Source organism: Homo sapiens, chromosome 2 (genome assembly GCF_000001405.40).
Source record: "Homo sapiens chromosome 2, GRCh38.p14 Primary Assembly".
Taxonomy (NCBI): domain Eukaryota; kingdom Metazoa; phylum Chordata; class Mammalia; order Primates; family Hominidae; genus Homo; species Homo sapiens.
The window spans coordinates 208,140,585-208,163,869 of record NC_000002.12 but is presented as its reverse complement, the minus strand read 5'-3'; the positions used below and the strand labels follow the sequence as shown (position 1 = coordinate 208,163,869).

The window sequence follows — 23,285 nt, the reverse complement described above, 5'->3', positions numbered from 1 at the left end:
GCATGTAATGCATTTCTAGTGAGCTGCATAGGATGAGAAGTGTGCCCTTTGTCTCCAAGGTCATAATGGCTCTGCTGACTTTAATACCTTTCACTGGAGCTAGTGAGGACAACTCGAAAATGCCAGAAAGAGAGAGAGCCCACTGCCCCATGATCTCAAATGAAAAAAAAAAGAGAATACAGAAATCCCCCTACGCACCACCCCCAGGTCCCTTTTGTGTTGTTTTTGCCAACACAGCAGCTTCCCTGCTATATATACCAGTTGCCCCTTTGTCCCTATCATACTAGATGCTAATCACCCTCTGTCAACAACCATGGGGAAGGTGAGCCTGTGGAGGTGCTGTGCCATGTCTATTGGGGGTCTGTGGTGTGTGGGGATGTTCCTTCCAGCTGACTGTCTACTGTCACCTTATTTCTACCTCAGATCACCTTCTACGAGGACCGAGACTTTCAGGGTCGCTGCTACAATTGCATCAGTGACTGCCCCAACCTGCGGGTCTACTTCAGCCGCTGCAACTCCATCCGAGTAGACAGCGGCTGCTGGATGCTCTATGAGCGTCCCAATTACCAGGGCCACCAGTACTTCCTGCGCCGAGGCAAGTACCCCGACTATCAGCACTGGATGGGCCTCAGCGACTCGGTCCAATCCTGCCGTATAATTCCTCATGTGAGTCTTGCTTCAACTTGACTGATGTGAAAGCATCAATGATCCATGGCCATCAATTCCTGTTTATAAAAGTCAGTTTGTTCCAACACAGGATGAGTGTTCACAGTAAGAATAGCAAGGCCTGACCCTCAAACATATATAAAAAAAAAAAGTAACAATAATCTCTATTTTTCTTACTTAAGGACATCATTTTAGGGCATGGGAAATCACAACATAGCCTTTAAATTAAACTTGGTAACATCTAGGTGATCCCTAATTTCTACATAAAAGTCACCTTATTCAGTAGTAAAAAAAAAAAAAAAGAAAGAAAGAAAAAAAAGAAAAGTCTATCTAGTTTATCTAGATAATTTTTTTTTTTGAGACAGAACTTCGCTTTCGCTCTTGTTGCCTAGGCTGGAGTGCAATGGCACAATCTCAGCTCACCACAACCCCTGCCTCCCAGGTTCAAGCGATTCTCCCGCCTCAGCCTCCCTTGTAGCTGGGATTACAGGCATGTGCCACCATGCCCAGCTAATTTTGTATTTTTAGTAGAGACAGAGTTTCTCCATGTTGGTCAGGCTGGTCTCGAACTCCCGACCTCGGCCTCCCAAAGTGCTAGGATTATAGGAATGAGCCACTGCGCCCGGCCATGATAATTATTTTTTAATGATGAAAAGTTAACAGACTATGAGATAACAATATAGGTATAATGTATTCTGACTGCATTGGAAATTTTTTTCACTACATTCTAGGACTTACTAGAACCTAGGAAAATATGTTTCAACTTGTGTGGATTTATAATTTCCAGGAGTCATTATCAACTAGTTTCTTATAAATATCAGAGACACACAATTGATTAGGATTTCATAGAACATGGTCCTCATCAAAATGCTGCTTAATCTTTTTTAATCACGTGCAGCATGTATTTACACTTTCTGTTGGCACCAAATTATGTAGTGTGACAAGGAGATTCAAGAATTGAAATCACGGCCAGGCTCAGTGGCTCACGCCCGTAATCCTAGCACTTTGGGAGGCTGAGCTGGGCAGATCACTTGAGGTCAGGAGTTCAAGACCAGCTTGGCCAACATGGTGAAACCCTGTCTCTACCAAAATACAAAACATTAGCCAGGCATGGTGGTGCATGCCTGTAGTCCTAGCTAAGCAGGAGGCTAAGACAGGAGAATTGCTTGAACCCAGGAGTCGGAGGTTGCAGTGAGCCGAGATCATGCCACTGCACTCCAGCCTGGTGACAGAGCGAGACTTCGTCTAAAAAAAAATAAAAAAATAAAAAAACAAATTTAGGCCAGAAAAATTTGCAGATGCGCAAAGAGGTATAAATAAAATAGGCATTTCTCTGGGGCAAGAAACCCAAATGGCACAAGTGACTTGGCAAAATGTCACTTGAAAATACATGTGGACTCAGTGTAAATATAAATCACTGTAAATTATAAGTGCAAAAAGTGACTCAAAAACAAGCTTGATAAGACTCAATTATATGGAGTCAAAATGGAAATGAGAGTTGAAATCCTCACTACAGACTCACTGACTACAATTGTATTGATGATTGCTTACAAAGAACACACTTTTATTCCCTGTATTTTAATGTTTGTTTCTTCCACAACATCTCCAGTTCATTGATCAGGTCAGATTCGTTTTAATATTTTCCCTAATTTGTTAGAATAACAACATTGAAAGTGGGTTCAGGGGAGAAACACTTTATCAACTGGTTTAAAAAACCATGTTTCAAACCAGGTGCAATCCCAACATTTGTAATCCCAACATTTTGGGAGGCCAAGGTGAGAGAATCACTTGAACCCAGGGATTCAAGACCAGCCTGGGCAATATAGTGAGACTCCCTCTCTACAAAAAAATTTTTAAAAATAAATTAGCCGGGTGTCACAGTGCACACCTGTGATCCCAGCTACTTGGGGGGCTGAGGTGGGAGGATTACTTAAGCCCAGGAGGTGAAAGTTGCAGTGAGCAGTGATCCTGCCACTGTACTCCAGCCTGGGCAACACAGCAAGACCTTTATCTCAAAAATAAAATAAAAGCCATGCTTCATGAAGATGCAGACTGATTGTGTCACTTTCGTTGACACCCAAGGATGCATGCTGTTTATTTTTGTTCTTTTGTTTATTGCCATGACAGACCAGCTCGCACAAGTTAAGGCTGTACGAGAGAGATGACTACCGAGGCCTTATGTCTGAGCTCACTGATGACTGCGCCTGTGTTCCAGAACTGTTCCGTCTCCCTGAGATCTATTCCCTCCACGTACTGGAGGGCTGCTGGGTCCTCTATGAAATGCCCAACTACCGGGGGCGGCAGTATCTGCTGAGGCCTGGGGACTACAGAAGGTACCACGACTGGGGGGGTGCAGATGCCAAAGTCGGCTCTTTGAGACGGGTCACCGATTTGTACTAAGCTGTGCCTGCCTTGTTGTGATCCCCATAGAAACATAATAAATATACAAGTTGTGTTCCCTGCACTAAGTGGCTCTTGTTTATCTTTATTTATTTATTTTATAATTTGTTTTGTTATGGAGTCTTGCTCTGTCACCAGGCCAGAGTGCAATGGCGCTATCTCGGCTCACTGCAACCTCCGCCTCCCAGGTTCAATCAATCCTCCTGCCTCAGCCTCCCAAGTAACTGGGATTACAGGCATGCACCACCACACCCGGCTAAGTTTGTAGTTTTAGTAGAGACGGGGTTTCACCGTGTTGGTCGGGCTGGTCTCAAACTCCCGACCTCAGGTGATCCGCCCGCCTCGGCCTCCCAAAGTGCTGGGATTACAGGCGTGAGCCACTGCGCCCAGCTGAAGAGAGGAGCTCTAAAGAGAACTTCCACGTGGAGAAGGGCAAGCCTGCTTCACTAGGCAATCTGGTAGCAAAAGTGTTAAACCAAGAGTTAAACAGCCTACCTCTGCTACTTACTAGTAGAGTAACCAACCCAGCCCAATTTTCCAGGGACTCTCCCAATTTTAGCACTTGAAGTCTTCTATCCCAGAAAGCCCCTCAGTGTCAGGTGAACCCAAATGGTTGGTTACCCCACTTCCTAGCTTATCTCTTTGAGCACGTCACTTTGTACCATCTCTGTGCCTAAATTACCTTACTGAAAACTGTAAGTAATAATAAATTCTTGCTTCACTAAATCCCAGGATAATCACAATGAAATGATGGGAAAAGATTGTGAGCAAATTTTGTTACCTTTAAATTATTATACAAATGTAAGAATTTAATATATCCACAGTGTCTTCTAAAATTCAGTATCACAATGTGGTCACCTTCTGTTGGACTCCAATATGAATTTTTATCAAGACTAAATTACTGAAGACTCTGGCTGGGCACAGTGGCTCACGCCTATAATCCCAGCATTTTGGGAGGCCACAGTGGATGGATTGCTTTAGCCCAGGAGATCAACACTACCAGCCTGGGCGACAACGTGAGACCGTGTCTCTTTTAAAAAAATAATAATAATAAAAATAAAAATAAAGGACTCAACTATATGCAGAGTGAGTGATTAATGTTTGCTATCCTACATATCTCTGTGATTTTTTTCCACTATAATAGAGCTGCACGTTCTTTGTATATGAATTTTACGTTAGTGGAGTTCTTTATGAAACAAAAAGCAAGATGAGATACTACTTCACATTTACTAGGATGGCCATAATCAAAAAGAAAGCTAATAATGTGTTGGTGAGGATGTGAGAAAATTGAAAGTCCCATACATTGTTGGTGGGAAAAAATGTAACAAAAAACAAAGTAAAATGATGTGCTGCTTTGGAAAATAGTCTGGCAGTTCCTCAGAAGGTTAAACATAGCTGGGCGCAGTGGCTTGTGCCTGTAATCCCAGCACTTTGGGAGACCAAGGCAGGCGGATCGCAAGGTCAGAAGATCGAGACCATCCTGGGTAAGACGGTGAAACCCTGTCTCTACTAAAAATACAAAAAAATTAGCCGAGCGTGGTGGTGGGTGCCTGTAGTCCCAGCTACTCAGGAGGCTGAGGCAGGAGAGTTGCTTGAACCCGGGAGGCGGAGCTTGCAGTGAGCCAAGATTGCACCACTGCACTCCAGCCTGGGCGACAGAGCGAGACTCCATCTCAAAAAAAAAAAAAAAAAAAAAAAAAAGGGGGAATTAAGTATCTGTCGGTGCGGTGGCTCATGCCTGTAATCCCAACACTTTGAGAGGCTGAGGAGGGGGAATCATGAGGTCAGGAGTTCAAGACCAGCCATGGCCAACATGGTGAAACCCCGTCTCTACTAAAAATACAAAAAATTAGCCGGGCGTAGTGGCGGGCGCCTGTAATCCCAGCTACTCGGGAAGCTGAGGCAGGAGAGTTGCTTGAACCTGGGAGGTGGAGGTGGCAGTGAGCCAAGATCGTGCCACTGCACTCCAGCCTAGGAGACAGTGTGAGACTCTGTTTCAAAAAAAAAAAAAGGGATTAAGTATCAACTCATGTTACAATATGGTGAACTTTTGAAACATGCTATCTGAAAAAAACCCATTGGAGATTGCATGTTTTAAAATTCCATTTTTATGAAATTTCCAAAATAAGCAAATAGACAATGAAGATTAGTGGTTGCCTAGCGCTAGGGTGGAAAAAGGGAGCGGTAACTGGGGAGAAATAGGGAATGACTGCTAACGGGTAAAGGATTTTTTTTGGGGGGTGATGATAATGTTCTGAAATTGATTCTGGCATTGGTTGAACAACTCTGTAAATACACAAATAGCCACTAAATTGTACACTTTTAATTGGTGATTTGTATGGTATGTAAATTTTATCTCAAATAAAAAATATTGAGCTGCAATTCCGGAATGTTAGTTTTTTTCCCAAATTTATATAAGCAAAAATAATGCTCTGTCCCAGTTGACTTTTTTGTAAAAATTGATAAGCTGATTTTAAAATCCATATGGAGTTGCAAGGGACCCAGAATAGCCAAAACAGCCTTGAGAAAGAACAAAAAGCAGGAACATTCACACTTCCGAATTTCAAAATTTACCACAAAACAATGGTAATCACAATAGTGGGGTGCTAGCATAAGGACAGACATATAGACAGAATAGAATTGCAAATTTAGAAGTAAACCTATATGTCTATGTTCAACTGATTTTTTTTTTATTTTACATACCCCTGGGTGGAGATTTATCAACTGATCTTTGACAAAGATGCTAAGACCATTCAATAGGGAATAAATAATCTTTTTAATAAACAGTGCTGGGACTACTGGATATCCACATGCAAAATGAAGCTGGACCCCAATCTCACACCATACATAAAAATTAACTCAGGGCCAGATGCAGTGGCTGATGCCTGTAATCCTAACACTTTGGGAGCCTGAGGCTGGTAGATTGCTTGAGCCCAGGAATTTGAGACCAGCCTGGGGAACATGGCAAAACCCTGTCTCTAACAAAAAATACAAAAAATTAGTCGAGTGTGGTGGCACACACCTGTAGTCCCAGCTACACAGGAGGCTGTGGTGGGAGGACCGCTTGAGCCCAGGAAGTAGAGGTTGCAGTGAGCTGTGGTCATGCCACTATACTCTAGCCTGAATGACAGAGCAAGACCCTGTCTCAAAAAACAAAATAAAACAAAACAAAAAACAAAAGAAAAGGAAGAGAAAAGAAATCAGCCTTCCACCAATTAATAAATTGGCCAATCCACTAGAATATATTGGAATTCCTGTTAAAGCCCAAGATGCACAGAATTCATAGGGATTGAACAGGTTATTTGGGTGCAGACTTTGTGGAAATTCAAAAAAAAAAAGCATGACAAAGGAACTACTATGACAAGTGTATAATTTAGAGAAGATATAAGATATGCACACCTGAAGAGATAACATCTAAAACAAACCATCAGTGTATGAAGAGACAATTAGCTTAGGCCTTGAGGTAGATGGACTTGAGTTCTATTCCCAGTTCTTTCACTCACTAGCTATGTGTAACTTTCGGATTCTTTTCTCCCTAGTGATCAGTACTGTGATTAGCGTTGGTGGACCAGGACCCCCAGACTGGACTGGGTGCTTCAGAGAACTTCCCTCTGGTTTCCTGTAGCTGAACTCTTCCCAGTGGGGCAGGAATTTGTGGGGCCATGGGACATCCCCACACCTCTCCTTCTAGACCACACTCTTTATACCTGGATCTTCAAAATTCCCTCCACTTAGACCCAGGATCACTTCCAAGACTTAAGAGGGAGTCTTCCCCAGACCTATCCTCCCGGGCACGCTGATAGCCACAGGCTGCTGTTTGAGGAGGGGTCATATGGATAGAACTTGGACATGTGAGAGAGTGAGGAGAAAGGAGGGTACTTCATGGAGTAGGGAGGGGCTCTATTTATGCTCTAGGCATAATATCTTTCAAATATTAGGGGTAGTCCTGGTGTTAATTGGACTGAGTTGGCTACATGTTGCAGCTTGTATAAGATTCCTGGTACAACGTCTGGAACATACTAGACACTCATGACACAGTAGGCTATTATTAAGTATTATTATTTTTATCATTGTGACCCAAATGAGTGCTCCAAAGTTTGCTGCAGGTTCAGTCCTACCCACTTAAGCAAAGGCAGACGTGGCATAGTTCAGCAGGGTCATGTCAATGATGCAATGATGTACTGATGAACTCAGGAGGCTTCATGTGGAAGACATGTAGCTGGTTATCAGAGAGCCAGGAAAAGAAGTCTGCAAAAGCTACAGGAAAAATCAGATTATAAGCTATAATATTTGTGTGTGGGGAGGGGAGAGAGGGTAATGAAGTTTCCCACTGAGGCCTCTAAAAGACCTCAGTTAACTTTAATGGCTTCTAAATGAATGACTGTTTTTGGAAAAAGTCAGGGTTTTGTTAGATCCATTCAAATATTTTGATATACAAGCTTGTATTAACCATTCTAGAGGACCTTAAATGGGTGAATTTTTCTGATTTAAATAAGGCCTGTATTTTTTAAGGAAAAGTTTTGCACTTATTTTTAAAGGAAAAAAGCTTGTGTATAACTTTAGAGTTAAACTCAGTATTCAAATCCTCGGATAAAAGGCTCCGGCATTGTCTTCACTCCCCATTCTGATGACACAAAGAGATATTATCAGCCAACAAAGCACATTTTGCTGCATTCAAGACCCAATGTCTCTTTCCATGGACCCATCCATCTTCCAAAATACAAGGAAGTGGCTGGGAATCTCTTTCATCATTTCCCTTCACAAAAATGCTGCTTATCACCTTTTCTTTTTCATTTTCACACTCTTGGTCAGCCCACCTCTCCTGTCCCTCTACATTAGCCATGCGAGGTAAGTTCTGAGGCCTTACTCTGACGGCCCTGGTTGTGTGCTTACCCATCCAAGGTACCTCCTTCCACCTCCCAGGGACGTCGCCCCATGATCTATCTACACCAGCTAGCCAGGCTTCTGTGTCATTTTTATTTACCTTCAGGCTTCCCAGGTCACCAGAGACTGGAAAGAACTGAAGGGAGGGTATCAGAAGCAGTGGATGTGGTAGAGGAGTGAGCAGGAGAAAGCCTATATCTGAACACATGTGGCTTCTGTGTCTTTGAACTTGACATGGGGTGACCTCATATGAGAGAGTAATTGTTTTCCAGAATAGAATAGGAATCACCAGGGCTCTATTTATCTGTCCAATTAATTAATAAGTCATTATCGGGAATAGAGAAGTGTGGCATGATCCTTATCCTTGAGCTTAAAAACCTTTTGAAGAGAATAAACCTGGAAAAGGAGAAACTGCATGAGGAAGACAATATTTAAAAGAAGCTGAGCAATAATGAGGTGATGTTGATGTTCAGAGAAGGGAGAGAGGAGTAAGGGCTGGATCTGAGAAGCGATTTCCTAAGAAGAGGACCCTGGACGGCCTTGAATATTGGGCAGGATCTGGCAAGCTTTAGGGGAAGGGAAGGTGTTCTAGGCTTAGGGAACAACTCCCATCCGTAGGCCCAAATTTTCATGGACACTCTGAATCTAGAAGGCAAAATAAGAAAAACGTTCTCCCTGGTTTGCCCTTCTTGGCTGCCAAAATTTAAATCGATATACCCACAGTTTCCAGAGTGAATTTTGTCTACTCTCACTGCTTCTGTACTTAACCATAAGAATTCAATAAAACAGTGAGGATGAGGACATTTTTTTCTAACTTCTTCTTTATATATTGACCTTCCTTTTCCAATGCTTCAAAGACCTCCAAAGCGCTATTATAGAAAGGATACACAGCTATAACACAATGAAGGATAAAAGTTAAAATATGCTCAAGCTCTCTCTCTCTCTGTCTCTCTCTCTCTCTCTCTCCCAAGTCTCTGTTACAGCTGATGAACAACCCTGGCTTTTGCATCCTCAGTCCTCTGGCCACAGTGAGATGAGTTTAGAACAGGGGCTTGTCATGAACTCATGGTAACATATTCTGGGGAGGATTTCCCTGCTATTGGCATATTCCATTGCAAATGACCACTGTGAGTGCAACAGTGACCACTGTGATCTGCAGTCCTGCTTCAGCTGCGGCAACCTGGTGTATACAGGTGGACAGCAAGGGCTGGATGCTCTGCTGGAGCGGATACATCAACCACCAGCACATCAACAACTCCATCTGCTCAGACTGCACAGTCCCCACTTAGGTTACTCTTCCTCATAGTCATCATTGACTGTGATATCAAAATTACCAAACAGCAGTTCTTTGCTAAATTAAACAAAAGTGTTCCAATATACGAAATTATCCGGCCAGGAGTTGTGACTCACAGCTGTAATCTCGACACTTTGGGAGGCCAAGGAGGGCGAGACCCAGGAGTTTGAGATCAGCCTAGGCAAATGGTAAAACCCCATCTCAACAAAAAATAAAAATAAAAATTAGCTGGGTGTGGTGGTGGTGCATGCCTGTATTCCCAGGTACTCGGGAGGCTAGATGGAAGGACCGTTTGAGCTCAGGAGGTCAAGGCTGAGCTTTGATTGTGCCACTGCACTCCAGCATGGACAACAGAGTGAGACCCTCTCTCAAAAGAAAAAAAAATAAAATTATCCATTGATCACATTTAGTCTCTATACCATAAACAAAAGTGTAGGCAGTATGACAGAGCCCAGAAACAGGCCAGCCATAGTGGCTCACGCCTATAATACTAGCACTTTGGGAGGCCGAGGCAGGTAAGTCACTTAAGGCCAGGAGTTTGATCCCAGCCCAACACAGAGAGACACTGTCTCTACTTAAAAAAAAAAAAAAAATGCACAGAAACATATATTTTAAAAATTTTTTTAAAATTTCAACTTTTATTTTAGATACAGGGGGTATATGTACAGCTTTGTTACATAGGTATATTGCACCCAGGTAGTGAGCATAATACCCAACAGGTGGTTTTTCAGTCCACGCACCCCTTCCTCCCTACCCCCTCTAGTAGTCCACAGTGTCTATTGTTCCCATGTTTATGTCCATGTGTGCTCAAGGTTTAGCTCCCACTTATAAGTAAGAGCATGTGGGATATGGTTTTCTGTTCCCTTGAGATTATGGCCTCCAGTCCCATCCATGTTGCTGCAATGGAAAGAATTTTATTCTTTTTATGGCTGTGTAGTATTGCATAGTGTATATGTACCACATATTTTATCCAATACACCATTTATGGGCACCTAGGTTGATTCCATGTCTTTGCTATCATGAATAGCAAGGTGATGAACATATGACTGTGCAAGTGTGTCTTTTTGGTATGATGGTCTATTTTCCTTTGGGAACATACCCAGTAATGGGATTGCTGGGTTGAATGGTAGCTCTGTTTTAGGTTCCTTGAGAAGTGTCTAAACTGCTTTCCACAGTGGCTGAGCTAGTTTACATCCCACCAACAGTATATAAGTGTTCCCTTTTCTCCACAGCCTTACCAGCATCTGTTGTTTCTTGGCTTTTTGATAAGAGCCATTCTGACTAGTGTGAGATTGTATCTCACTGTGGTTTTGATTTGCATTTTTCTGAAGAGTAGTAATGAGCATTTGTTGGACACTTGTATGTCTTCTTTTGAGAAATGTCTGTTCATGTCCTTTGCCCATTTTTTAATGGGATTATTTTTTTTTCTGCTTGTTGAACTGTTTAAGTTCCTTATAGATTGTGGATATTAGACATTTGTCAGATGCATAATTTGCAAATAATTTCTCCCATTCTGTAGGTTTTCTGTTTACTTTGTTAATAGTTGCTTTTGCTGTGCAGAAGCTCTTTAGTTTAATTAGGTCCCACTTGTCAATATTTGTTTTTGTTGCAATTGCTTTTGGGGACTTAGCCAAAATTCTTTGCCAAAGCCAATGTTGAAAAAGGTATTTCCTAGATTTTCTTCTAGAATTTTATATTTTGGGGTCTTACATTTAAATCTTTAATCCTTCTTGAGTTACTTTTTTATATGGTAAAAGGTAAGGGTCCAGTTTCAATCTTCTGCATATGGCTAGCCAGTTATCCTAGAACCATTTGTTGACTAGGGAGTGCTTTTCCCATTGCTTGTTTTTGTCAGTCTTGTTGGAGATCAGATGATTGTAGGTGTGCAACTTTATTTCTGAGTTTTTTGTACTGTTCCACTGGTCTATGTGTCTGTTTTCCTACCTGTACCATGATATTTTGGTTACTGTAGCCTAATAGTATATATGGTTTGAAATTGAGTAGTGTGATGCTTCTGGCTTTGTTCTTTTTGCTTAGGATTGCTTTGGCTATTTGGGCTTTTTTTTTTTTTTTGGTTCCATATGAATTTTAGAATACTTTTTTTCTAATTCTGTAAAGAATGACATTGGTAGCTTGATAGGAATAGCATTGAATCTGTAAATTGTTTTGGGCAGTATGGCCATTTTAACAATATTGTTTCTTCTAATCCATGATCATAGAATATTTTTCCATTTATTTGTGTCATCTCTGATTTCTTTCAGTAGTGTTTTGTAGTTTCCCTTATAAAGATATTTTACCTCCTTGGTTAGCTGTATTCACAGGTATTTCATTTTCTTTGTGGCTATTGTAAATGGGGTCATGTTCTTGATTTTACTCTCAGCCTGGACATTATTGGTGTACAGAAATGCTACTGTTTTTTGTATATTGATTTTCTATCCTGAAACCCTGCTGAAATCATGCATCAATTCTAGTAGCCTTTGGAGGAGTCTTCAGGGTTTGGTAAGTATAGAATTGTATCATCAGTGAAGAGAAATAGTTTGACTTCTTTTCCTAATTGGATGCTAATATCGTTTGGCTGCATCCCCACTCAAATCTCACCTTGAGTTGTAATAATCCCCATGTGTCAAGGGTGGGGCCAGGTAGAGATAATTGAATCATGGGGCCAGTTTGTGCCATACTGCTCTCATAGTAGTGAATAAGTCTCATGAGATCTGATGGTTTTATAAATGGGAGTTCCCCTGCACAAGCTCTCTCTTGCTTGCCGCCCTGTAAGATGTGACTTTGCTCCTTATTTGCCTTCAGCCATCATTGTGAAGCCTCCCCAGCCATATGGAACTGTGGCTTTATAAAGGAACGTCTTTCCTTTATAAATTACTCAGGCTCAGGTATGTCTTTATTAGCAGCATGAGAACAGACTAATACAGATGCCTTTTATTTCTTTATCTTGCCTGATTGCTTTGGTTAGGACTTCCAATACTATGTTGAATAGGAGTGGCAAGAGAGAGCATCCTTGTCTTGTTTCAGTTCTCAAGGGGAATAGTTCCAGCTTTTGCCCATTCAGTATGATATTGGCTATGGGTTTGTCATAGATAGCTTTTATTATTTTGACATATGTTCCTTTGATGCCCAGTCTGTTGAGAGTTTTTATCATGAAGGGATGTTGGATTTTGTCAAAAGCTTTTTCTGCCTGTATTGAGATGATCATATGATTTTTGCTTTCAATTCTAGAAACATATTATTAATTGGTGTACCAAGGCTATTAATCTTATCATCTTTAGCATTTATTAAAATATTGACAAAGACTGATATGGTTTGGCTCTGTGTCCCCATCCAAATCTCATCTCAAATTGTAATCCCCATGTGTCAGGGGAAGGGCCTGGTAGGAAGTGATGGAATCATGGGGTTGAACTTCCCCCTTACTGTTCTTGGGATAATGAGTGAGATCTGGTTATTTGAAAGTGTATGGCACTTCCCCCTTCACTCTCTCTCTTGCTCCACAATGGTAAGATGTGCTTGCTTCCCCTTTGCCTTCCGCCATGGTTGTAAGTTTCCTGAGACCTACTAGCCATGCTTCCTGTACAGTCTGTGGAAGTGTGAGTCAATTAAACCTCTTTTCTTCATAAATTACCCAGTCTCAGGTAATTCTGTATAGCAGTGTGAGAACAAACTAATACACTCTCCCCTTTTACCAAAATTATAGTCAGTCTTCTCTGAGTCTTTTGTTTTACTAGGTCCAACCTCGGGCTTCCCTTTTTGTCCTTATAGAATCCAGTTTGATCAAGAATCCTCCTGAGTCACTTTAGTGAATATCTCCCACCCTTGGTATCTGAACACCTTGGTCATCCTTCCGCGATAACTCTACCAAGTCAGTTTAGCCAGAAACCTCTTATCCTTGGTGTTTCCTCTTAGTAATTTTCCATCCACTGCCCCTGACCCCACTCCTAGGTTGTAAATCCCCATTCATCCTTTTTGGAGTCAGAGTTGAGTACAATCTCTCTTCCCCACTGCAAAACCCCATTGCAATGATCCCTATTCCTATCACCATGGCCCTCTCTGAACAGTCTTCCTTACCACTTTAACAAGTGTGATAATTTTTTCTTTAACAATATATATGACACTATTTTCTAAATCATTGGCAATATTTTACAATTTGTCATATGCTTTCAAATCCATTGTCTCATCTGGTTTTCATTGTTATTCCTATTTAATAAATGGGGAAACTGAGGCTTAGGGAAGTTAAATGACTTTTCACAAGCAGTTACAGAAACTGTAAAAGTTAGTAGATGTGTGTAGCTATTGCTCCCCTGAGTGTATTCTCCACAAATAGTGCCTAGTCAACAATTTCCCAGTGGTTGTTAGTATTGTGATGAAAAACAAAATTTTTTTAGAGGAAGCAGTGTGAAATCCAGACCATGGGACAAGCAGGATAGGTTGTCATAGGTGGTATTGTTTTCAAGTGTTGGTTTCTCCACCAAGCAATGGTGCAGGCCCTGAAACTATCACTCTCCCCTCCTACAACTCTAACCAGCCTAGGTGCCTGATACTCCAATAGCAGAAGCTGACTATGCAACTGAGAGGACTTGAATTCAAGGCCCAGACATTCCCATGACTTTGGAAACAGCAGATGAAGCTCTTTCACCAACCTCTTGAACCAATATTTTCTTTCTAAGTATTTAATTTGATTCCCCAATAGTCTCAATATAACAATTTGCCTCAAGGCTTGTTTAGGGCTGTCACTAGTTGTGCAAGAGGTTGGAACAAATTCTTCAATGTCACATGAGATAGGTTAAGGAATGGGCCTGAGCCAGCCTATAAGCACTCCATACTGTTTATCTGGCTATGGAGAGTCATGCTAGGGCCTGGGTATCTACTGGATACTGTGTAGGTTCTGTTCCAATAGAGGGACCCCTGCCCCCTACAGATTTCCCTTTTTGGAGTGTAGCATAAGTCAGTGGGAGAAATACACAAGCTGCCTGGATTGACAGTATCAGCTATTTACAGCTCTCTGGGAACACCAGCTTCCCTGCACCTAGAAACTTTGGGACAAATGGGATCTTTGGGGCCCATAGGATATTAGGGGCCCTGCCCCCTGCCAGAAGAGGAAGCCACCAGTCTCGTGAGAAGTAGGGAGAAAGTAGCTATCTCCTTGTACAAACTATGGTGAAAACCCAGGTTAATTACAGGTAATTCTGCTCTTTGAATTATAATGCTCATTAATGTGCCTGAATTATAATGCTCATTAACGTGCCAAGTCAAAGGCAGACTCTCCGATTTGTGTAATCTAAGCACTGAACAAATTTTATCTTCAGTTAGGCTTTTATACATTATATAAGATCTTATAAAGCCATAATAACAAGATCATGCACTAATTTCTTCTTCTTTCTTCTATTTTTCATCTTCTTTCTTCTCTTTTATTTTTCAAAAGTGACCAGCTCCCAGTACCAGGTAAGGAGGCCTCATGTTGGGGCTCCCTGAAGACTATTCCCACATACATGATTAGTTCCTTTCAAGGATATCTTCTCCCAATCCCTAGACTTATAAAAGACCCTGAATCTTCTGCGAGATGCCCAACTGTAGGGGAGAAAATTCCTACTGAGGCTCCAAAGAAAACAGGAATTTCACCACTAGGGGAAGACAAATGTCAAAGTGAGCCCTTCAAGAAGAGTCACAACTGATGCTGAAATATGTTTAATCCTTCAATTTCTTCTATTAGAATCAATGAGATTTTGATTTTGTGTTCCTAATACTTAGTTTATCTTTCTTTCATAGGATTACTGATTCTTCTACGTATCAGAACCAGAGACTGGTTGAATTTGTATGACTTAAAGGAAGTTACTCTAGGGTCCTCAATCACTTAAACATCATCCTGCAGATAAAAATCTGGGTAATTTTAAATCAGATCAATGCTCACTACATGATAGTTCATCATGATCCTCAAACACCCACCTATGCATCACACTGAGTATGTTAGGTCTTACATCAAACAGGGTTGTTAATTTAGTCTCTTTAAGAGTTAGAACTTTCAGCACATAAAGACTGTTTACATTGTTTTAGTGAGTCCACTGGGTGAATGATATTCTCCTGAATACTGCCTAGACCTCAAGCATGGGTATAGCTAACCAATAGAGAGTCTAGAACGATTTTTCATTCAGTTTCTCTTCACAAAAAAAATATATATATATGTATTAAAAGGCTAAATGTGATCACCTTAATCAGTATTACTAATCACTTTATTTGAAAGGTGACTTAGAAGAAAACAAGAGAATGCTACACAGTATAAATAACACTGTACAACCACACATGGGTTTGACATATAAAAAAGCTGGGATGATGAAACACCAAAATGTTAACTGCAGTTATCTCAGCTTTATTTTCTTCTTGTAGTGGACGCTCTGGTGCTGCCTGGACTTCCACTGTGGACTGAAGCACTCCTTCTCCCAGATGCTGACAGCTTAAAGCTGAGTTTGTCTCCAAGAATTTTCTTCTGCTGGAGGAAGCTGCCTTGCCCAAAGTTACACTTCTCCATGGCAGCAGCCCACATCAAATTACGGGGCAATGCAGAGGCACAGATTCCCGGTCCACTTGCCTAAGTTCCTGACAACTCTAGCCCTAGCCTTCCCTGCGGGATGGGATGAAGTCACCATTATTGCAATAGCTCTCTCTCAGCTCACACTTACAACTGCCTGCAGGGGTCCCTTCTGACCAGCTGATAGAGTGGGGGAAGGCTGAGCTTGATACACTAATAAATTGGCATGGCATTTGGGTACAAGCCCAAAATAGAATGCTGCTGCAGAATAGCTCACTCAGGAGTCACCCTAAAGACAGCAGTGAGGGAAATCCTCCCAAAAGGCAACCTTGAGGTAGTGCACCTGGCTGCTCACTCGGTGCAGAAAGAAAAGTAGCCCAAGGTCAAGCATATATGGAATTATTGAGCAGTAATGTGTGGCTTGGCTGGCTGGTCCAGGGCCTGGAAGGAGAAAGATTGGAAGATTAGGGACAAGAAGGTCTGGGGTAGAGGAATGTGCAGGGAGATATGGGATTGGGCACAAAGGGCGAAGATAGTTGTATCCCATGTGAAGGCCCAGTGTAGGGCATCCACCATTGAAGAGGCACTAAACAACCAAGTAGAAAAAATGATTTGGTCATTTGATTCCAGTCAGCGTCTGCCATCAGCCACCCTACTGCTGGCAGTGAGCTCACTAAGAGAGCGTTCATAGTGGTATGGATGAAGGCTATGCATTAACTTCTACTTATTAAGGCTAATCCAGCTATTTCCACTGTAGAATGTCCAATCTGCCAGCAATAGGGACCAACTCTGAGCCCTTTTGGTCCCATGCCTTGAGAAGACCAATCAGCCACTTAGTGGTAACATTTGAGGCAGAGCAGGAACACCAAACAGCAGGCAGGACTCTGGACAGCCACCAGCAGAAGGAGGGATTTAGGCCCTTAGGAAGATCTGAAAGGGGGAAGAAAGCCACAACTATCTGTTTTTGCTCAGGTCAGAGCCAATTATTGAGGACCTGCAATGTGCCAACCCTCTGCTCTAGGGCTCAGGGATAGACATGAACAAGAAATAATACCCAGCCCCCAGAAGCCTACAAAATTCCAGGCAAGTATCAGTTTTATTCAAGACAAGCCCCCAAACACCAACAATGATGATCACAGAATTTTTTTTTTTTTTTTTTTGCGACAGGGTCTTGCTCTGTTGCCCAGGCTGGAGTGCAGTGGTGCAATCATGGCTCACTGCAACCTCGACCTCCTGAGCTTAAGCAATCCTCTCACCTCAGCCTCCCAAATAGCTGGGACTACAGGTATGCGCCACCATGCAGGGCTAATTTTTGTATTTGTTGTAGAGATGGGGTCTCACCATGTTACCTAGGCTGGTCTCTAACTCCTGAGCTCAAGCAATCCACCTGCCTCAGCCTCCCAAAGTCCTGGGATTATAGGTGTGCACCACCTCGCCTGGCTGATCACAGAATTTTGAATTTGAACTAAGCTTTATGGGTTTTAACACACTTTCACAGATTACTTCACTTGATTCCCTCTTCTTTAAGATTCCTTACTATTTAAATTCTGGCTTTTAGAACTAAAACACACACACACACACACACAAAAACACCACCAGTCCCTGAGCAGAATTCATTACTTAGTTTAATGACTTTTGAGAAGTCAATTAAGCAGAGTAAACTATAAAATAAAAGCACAGAGACAGAATTTCGCCCATCCTTTTGCTCAACTAAAAGTGTACTCTATTCATTTTGATGGCAACAACAGCTTTAGTGAATTAGAACAACCCGAACCTACCAGAAAGAATGAGAGTAAACCATTCAGCCAACCCCAGTGACCTGGGCACGGAGAGCAGCGAGCTTGCAAATCCCCTTACTCACCAAAATGGGCCCTTTTGTGTGATTTCCTGTGGAGGCAGCAGTCAGGGCTGCTATACATACAGTGACGTTCCCGCAGTCCCACACAGCAACCAGAAAACATCTGCTCACTTCCTTCAAAATGGGAAAGGTAAGTCCTGGGTACCGGATGCTCAGCCTTGGCCCTAATGCAGTGGCCTCAGTGGGGGCCAATCACTCCATGCTCCCACATCTTCCATTTTTCAGATCACCTTCTACGAGGACAGGGCCTTCCAGGGCCGCAGCTACGAATGCACCACTGACTGCCCCAACCTACAACCCTATTTCAGCCGCTGCAACTCCATCAGGGTGGAGAGCGGCTGCTGGATGATCTATGAGCGCCCCAACTACCAGGGCCACCAGTACTTCCTGCGGCGTGGGGAGTACCCTGACTACCAGCAATGGATGGGCCTCAGCGACTCCATCCGCTCCTGCTGCCTCATCCCCCCGGTGAGTGTGGCTCTGTCTTTGCCTTCCATCTTTTTGGAAATAAAAGCTATTTCATGATATTCTTTTTTTTTTTTTTTTTTTTTTTGAGGCGGAGTCTCGCTCTGTCCCCCAGGGTGGAGTGCAGTGGCATGATCTCGGCTCACTGCAACTTCCGCCTCCCGGGTTCAAGCAATTCCCCTGCCTCAGCCTCCTGAGTAGTTGGGATTACAGGCATGCACCACCATGCCCAGCCAATTTTTGTATTCATAGTAGAGACGAGGTTGCACCATGTTGCCCAGGCTGATCTCGAACTCCTGGCCTCAAGTGATCCGCCCGCCTCGGCCTCCCAAAGTGCTGGGATTACAGGTGTGAACCACGGCATCCGGCCTATTTAATCACATTATTCTTAAATCCCAGCTACTCGGGCGGCTGGGGCAGGAGAATTGCTTGCTTGAAGCCGGGAGATGGAGGTTGCAGTGAGCCGAGATCGTGCCACTGCACTCCAGCCTGGTGACAGAGTGAGACTCCATCTCAAAACGACAATAACAACAACAACAACAACAACAACAAACTTTTGCTTGCTTTGTCTTACTTTTCTATTTGATTATTCCTCCTGAGAAGATAGGATCCTGTCTTCTGATTTCTATTCTAATTTAATGGTCAGTACCTATTAGCTCACTTAGAGGTATAAATTAGAGAAAAGGCCAAATCTGAAACTAAAGTTTGAGATTCCATATTTTCTGGGCAGTGACTGCAGAATTCTTAGAATTGTGGTGTGTGGGAGGCATGGGATACAGTGTCATAAAAACAGAAGTTAATGAAGGTGATACTTGCTGCTGAGGGAAATAAATAAGTTGAGAGCAGGAGGCTAGAAAGGAAGCTTAAAAGTCAGATAGGTTGAAATTTGAACTGAAGGCTGGGTGCGGTGGCTCACGCCTGTAATCCCAGCACTTTGGGAGGCCGAGGTCAGGAGGTCAGGAGTTCAAGACCACCCTGGCCAATATGGTGAAACCCCCTCTCTACTAAAAATACAAAAATTAGCTGGGCTTGGTGGCACGCGCCTGTAGTCTCAGCTACTTGGGAGGCTGAGGCAGGAGAATCGCTTGAACCCGGGAAGGGTAGGTTGCAATGAGCTGAGATCATGCCACTGCACTCCAGTCTGGGTGACAGAGCAAGATTCCGTCTCAAAAAAAAAAAAAAAAGAAAAGAAATTTGAACTGAAAATTAGCCAGATGTGGTGGTGCATGCCTGTAGTTCCAGCTACTCAGGAGGCTGAGGTGGGAGGGTCACTTGAGCCCAGAAGGTTGAGGGGGCTGTGACCCATGATCATGCCATTGCACTCCAGCCTAGGTGACAGAGGGAGACCCTGTCTCAAGAAACAAATACATATATGTGTGTGTGTGTGTGCGTGCGCATATAATAGTGAACCCCAAATATCTGAGACAGGTCTCAGTCAATTTAGAAAGTTTATTTTGCCAAGGCTGGGCACAGTGGCTCATGCCTGTAATCCCAGCACTTTTGGGAGGCCAAAGCAGGCAGATCACCTGAGGTCCGGAGTTTGAGACCAGCCTGACCAACATGGAGAAACCTCTACTAAAAATACAAAATTAGCTGGGCGTGGTGGCGCGTGCCTGTAATCCCAGCTACTTGGGAGGCTGAGGCAGGAGAATTGCTTGAACTTGGGTGGCAGAGGTTGTGGTGAGCCGAGATCACGCCATTGCACTCCAGCCTGGGCAACAAGAGTGAAACTCCATCTCAAAAAAAAAAAAAAACCCAGAAAGAAGGTTTATTTTGCCAAGGTTGAGGATGCACCCATGACACAGCCTCAGAAAGTCCTGAGACATGTGCCCAAAGTGGTCAGGGGTACAGTTTGCTTTTATACATTTTAGGGAGACATGAGACATCAATCAATATGTATAAGTTGTAAATTGGTTCAGTCTGGTAAGACAGGAAGTAGGGGCTTCCTGGTTAGACATGGATAAGAAACAGAGCTGGGCGCGTGGCTCACCCCTGTGATCCCAGCACTTTGGGAGGCTGAGGTGGGTGGATCGCCTGAACTCCTGACGGAGTTTAAGACCAGCCTGGCCAACATAGTCAAAGCCCGTCTCTACTAAAAATACAAAATATTAGCTAATCGTGGTGGTGGGCGCCTGTAATCCCGCTACCCGGGAGGCTCAGGCAGGAGAATCACTTGAACCCAGAAGGTGGAGGTTGCAGTGAGCTGAGATTGCGCCATTGTACTACAGCCTGGACAACAACAGCGAAACTCTGTCTCAAAAAAAAAAACAGTAGATAAGAGACAAAAGGTTCTTTGAGCCCTTGATCAGCTTTCCACTGAATACACAATTTAGTCTGGCTCGATGACTCTGCATCTTTACATAAACAATAGGGGAGAGGAAGCAATCAGAGATGCATTTGTCTCAGGTGAGCCTCAGAGGGATGACTTTGAATAGAATGGGAGACAGGTTTGCCCTAAGCAGTTCCTGGCTTGACTTTTCCCTTTAGCTTAGTGATTTTGAGGTCCCAAGATTTATTTTCCTTTCACTGTATATACATAATATGACATTTAACTTTCCAATGACTCTCAGTTTTCTCCTTTGAGAAAGGCTTTCTCAAATAACAGGCACTAAAGTGATGTGATATTTTATTGTAAGCAAATCTTAATTCCCAAAGCCCTAGCTCTGCCCATGAATCATTAGACTCAGCGGTGGGTGACTGGGGAGTGTGACAGCTCCTTAACTTTGCAACAGGGTTGTTCTAGAAGCAAACTTGGCCTGGGAGAACTTCTGGGCAGGTGTGGCCAGGGAGGTGTAGGGACTGGAGCTTTAATTTCCATCTGTTTTTGTTTGTTTACTCTTGCGTTTTCTGTCTGCCACTCCAGCACTCTGGCGCTTACAGAATGAAGATCTACGACAGAGATGAATTGAGGGGACAAATGTCAGAGCTCACAGACGACTGTATCTCTGTTCAGGACCGCTTCCACCTCACTGAAATTCACTCCCTCAATGTGCTGGAGGGCAGCTGGATCCTCTATGAGATGCCCAACTACAGGGGGAGGCAGTATCTGCTGAGGCCGGGGGAGTACAGGAGGTTTCTTGATTGGGGGGCTCCAAATGCCAAAGTTGGCTCTCTTAGACGAGTCATGGATTTGTACTGAAGTATTTACGTTTTCCACTTTTCTCCTTTAAAATCTAATAAAATATTTAGCTTGTGTTTCTGGCACTAGTAGAGCCCTGTCTTTCTTTCAATCTATTAAGCATTTATAAGTGATAATGGCACTCAGCCAAACATAATAACATGTTTTCATGATGGGAAGCAATCTTTTATAAGGGGAATAATGCAGAGATATTATTTCCAGCACTCTTGTAATGACTAAAACATGTAGGCTCAAATAAAAGCTCAGTTCACTTGGACTCAGGCCAATTGTAGTTAGTCTCACCAGGCTAGATTTGCAGCTACGGTGGTGAATTGGTACTTTTTGAAACACCTCCAAGTTATCCCTCCAGGTTATCCCTATTGTCTTCCCTAATAGTCCAGGCCTTAGCTGATGAGGAAAGTTGTTCTCAGCCTCTAGACTCCTACCTCAGCTCCATAAACAAACAAATAAATGAACTGGTCCACTCTTACCTATTGCACTCCTGTCCTCCTAACAGTCACCATCCCTTTCCTCTCACTTCCACTGCCAATATCTCATTCCACTATGAGATTTCCAGTCCAAATAGAATTCACTGTGTTTTCGCTATATGTGCTTTGTGGAATAATTTCAGGACATTTACAAAAACCACATGCGCACGGGAAGCTCAGCCTCATGTCATTTCAGTAGAGAGTAAAATATTATGATTACACATAATAATACTAAGTGGCCGGGCGTGGTGGCTCACACCTGTAATCCCAGCCCTGTAAACCTGCGTCTCCAGGGCTCAAGCGATCCTCCCACCTCAGCCTCCCAAATAGCTGGGATTACAGGCGCACACCACCATGCTCAGCTAATTTTTTTTATTTCTAGTAGAGACAGGGTCTTGCCATGTTGCCCAGGCTGGTCTCAAACTCCTGAGCTCAAGCGATCCTCTTGTCTGGGCCTCCCAAAGTGCCAGAATTACAGGTGTGAGCCACCACACCCAGTCATAAACTCGGTCATTTGTTTTGATTTTGGGTTTTTTTTTTTTTTTTTTTTGAGATGGAGTCTCACTCTGTCACCCAGGCGGGAGTTCAGTGGTGCAATCTCAGCTCACTGCAACCTCTGCCTCCCAGTTCAAGCAGTTCTCCTGCTTCAGCCTCCCAAGTAGCCAGAACTACAGGCGTGTGCCACCACGCCCGGCTAATGTTTGTATTTTTAGTAGAGACAGAGTTTCACCATGTTGGCCAGGCTGGTCTCAAACTCCTGACCTCAGGTGATCCACCCACCTCGGCCTCCCAAAGTGCTGGGATTACAGGAGTGAGCCACCACGCCTGGCCTACACTGGGTCATTTTTGAGAGTGAAAGTATATACTATTAATAATTACACTGGGACAAGAGACATGAACCAGGACTGTTCTAGGCAAACTTGGATGCAAGTTTACCCTACTGTGTGTGTGTGTGTGTGTGTGCTAAATATTACTACAAAAGTGTCAAAAAGGTTTAAAATGTTAAAAAGTTTATGTTACAAAGTTACAGTATGCTAATGTTAGTTTATTATTGAAGAAAGCAAGCATTTTAAAAAAATGTGTAGCCTAAGTTTAGCCTACTGTATGTATATGTATATTAGCCTACTGTATGTGTGTATATATAGAGAACACAAATACATATAAAGATTTATTTCCTGAAAAACAGTCAGAATCTAGGATTATTTAGTGTTAACTCTTCCTAAATCTTGGGTCTTTAACCTTTAAACTCGCAACAATAGTGATGGCTTCCTGGAGCTATTAATCAGAGTCCTCTGTTTGTCAACAATAACATGTCAAACATAATTCAGAAAACCAAAAGCTTCTTAACGTGCTGAATTTTACACTATTTTCCTAGAAGACATAAAATCACATATTTTGGCTGGGTGCAGTGGCTCACGCCTGTAATCCCAACATTTTGGAAGGCCAAGACAGGCGGATCACTTGAGGCCAGGAGTTTGAGACCAGCCTGACCAACATGCCGAAACCCCGTCTCTACTAAATTTAAATACAAAAATTAGCTGCACGTGGTGACACATGCCTGTAATCCCAGCTACTACAGAAGCTGA

General features: G+C 42.9%; 2 protein-coding genes and 1 long non-coding RNA gene across 4 annotated transcripts in view, besides 2 other annotated features; 2 read left to right on the top strand and 1 right to left on the bottom strand.

Annotated features, from left to right (window-relative positions):
• On the top strand, positions 281-3,130 carry CRYGA (crystallin gamma A). The gene is made up of 3 exons (NM_014617.4): positions 281-322; positions 424-666; positions 2,794-3,130. Exons 1-3 carry the CDS (start codon positions 314-316, stop codon positions 3,064-3,066), a joined length of 525 nt encoding a protein of 174 aa, NP_055432.2. The 5' UTR covers positions 281-313; the 3' UTR covers positions 3,067-3,130.
• LOC100507443 (uncharacterized) overlaps positions 7,108-23,285 on the bottom strand; it is a 37,634-nt gene continuing 21,456 nt past the window's right edge. The window contains exon 3 of the long non-coding RNA NR_038437.1: positions 7,108-7,323. This is a non-coding gene — a long non-coding RNA (uncharacterized LOC100507443). The remainder of the gene's footprint in view (positions 7,324-23,285) is intronic.
• On the top strand, positions 17,712-21,297 carry CRYGB (crystallin gamma B). Of its 2 annotated transcripts, none has more exons than NM_005210.4 (3): positions 17,712-17,758; positions 17,854-18,096; positions 20,957-21,297. In NM_005210.4, the coding sequence occupies exons 1-3, from the start codon at positions 17,750-17,752 to the stop codon at positions 21,230-21,232; spliced, it is 528 nt and encodes a 175-aa protein (NP_005201.2). In that variant the 5' UTR covers positions 17,712-17,749; the 3' UTR covers positions 21,233-21,297. The 2 variants fall into 2 exon arrangements, with proteins under 2 accessions (NP_005201.2, XP_016858891.1); XM_017003402.2 differs by having other exon boundaries at positions 17,854-18,102; positions 20,957-21,272.
• Positions 17,897-18,520: an enhancer, noted in NCBI's record as "H3K27ac-H3K4me1 hESC enhancer chr2:209010074-209010697 (GRCh37/hg19 assembly coordinates)". NCBI's record gives its function as "activates a minimal SCP1, AML or CMV promoter by ChIP-STARR-seq in naive H9 embryonic stem cells {active_cell/tissue: H9 hESC(naive)}" and the evidence as "EXISTENCE:reporter gene assay evidence [ECO:0000049][PMID:30033119]".
• Positions 20,128-20,910: an enhancer, noted in NCBI's record as "OCT4-NANOG-H3K27ac hESC enhancer chr2:209007684-209008466 (GRCh37/hg19 assembly coordinates)". NCBI's record gives its function as "activates a minimal SCP1, AML or CMV promoter by ChIP-STARR-seq in primed H9 embryonic stem cells {active_cell/tissue: H9 hESC(primed)}" and the evidence as "EXISTENCE:reporter gene assay evidence [ECO:0000049][PMID:30033119]".

What these genes read in the sequence shown, in the direction of transcription:
- CRYGA (NM_014617.4), top strand. An exon ending in CCTGCCGTATAATTCCTCAT is followed by an intron (nt 667 to 2,793) that starts GTGAGTCTTGCT and finishes TTGCCATGACAG; the next exon opens with ACCAGCTCGCACAAGTTAAG.
- CRYGB (XM_017003402.2), top strand. An exon ending in GCCTCATCCCCCCGGTGAGT is followed by an intron (nt 18,103 to 20,956) that starts GTGGCTCTGTCT and finishes CTGCCACTCCAG; the next exon opens with CACTCTGGCGCTTACAGAAT.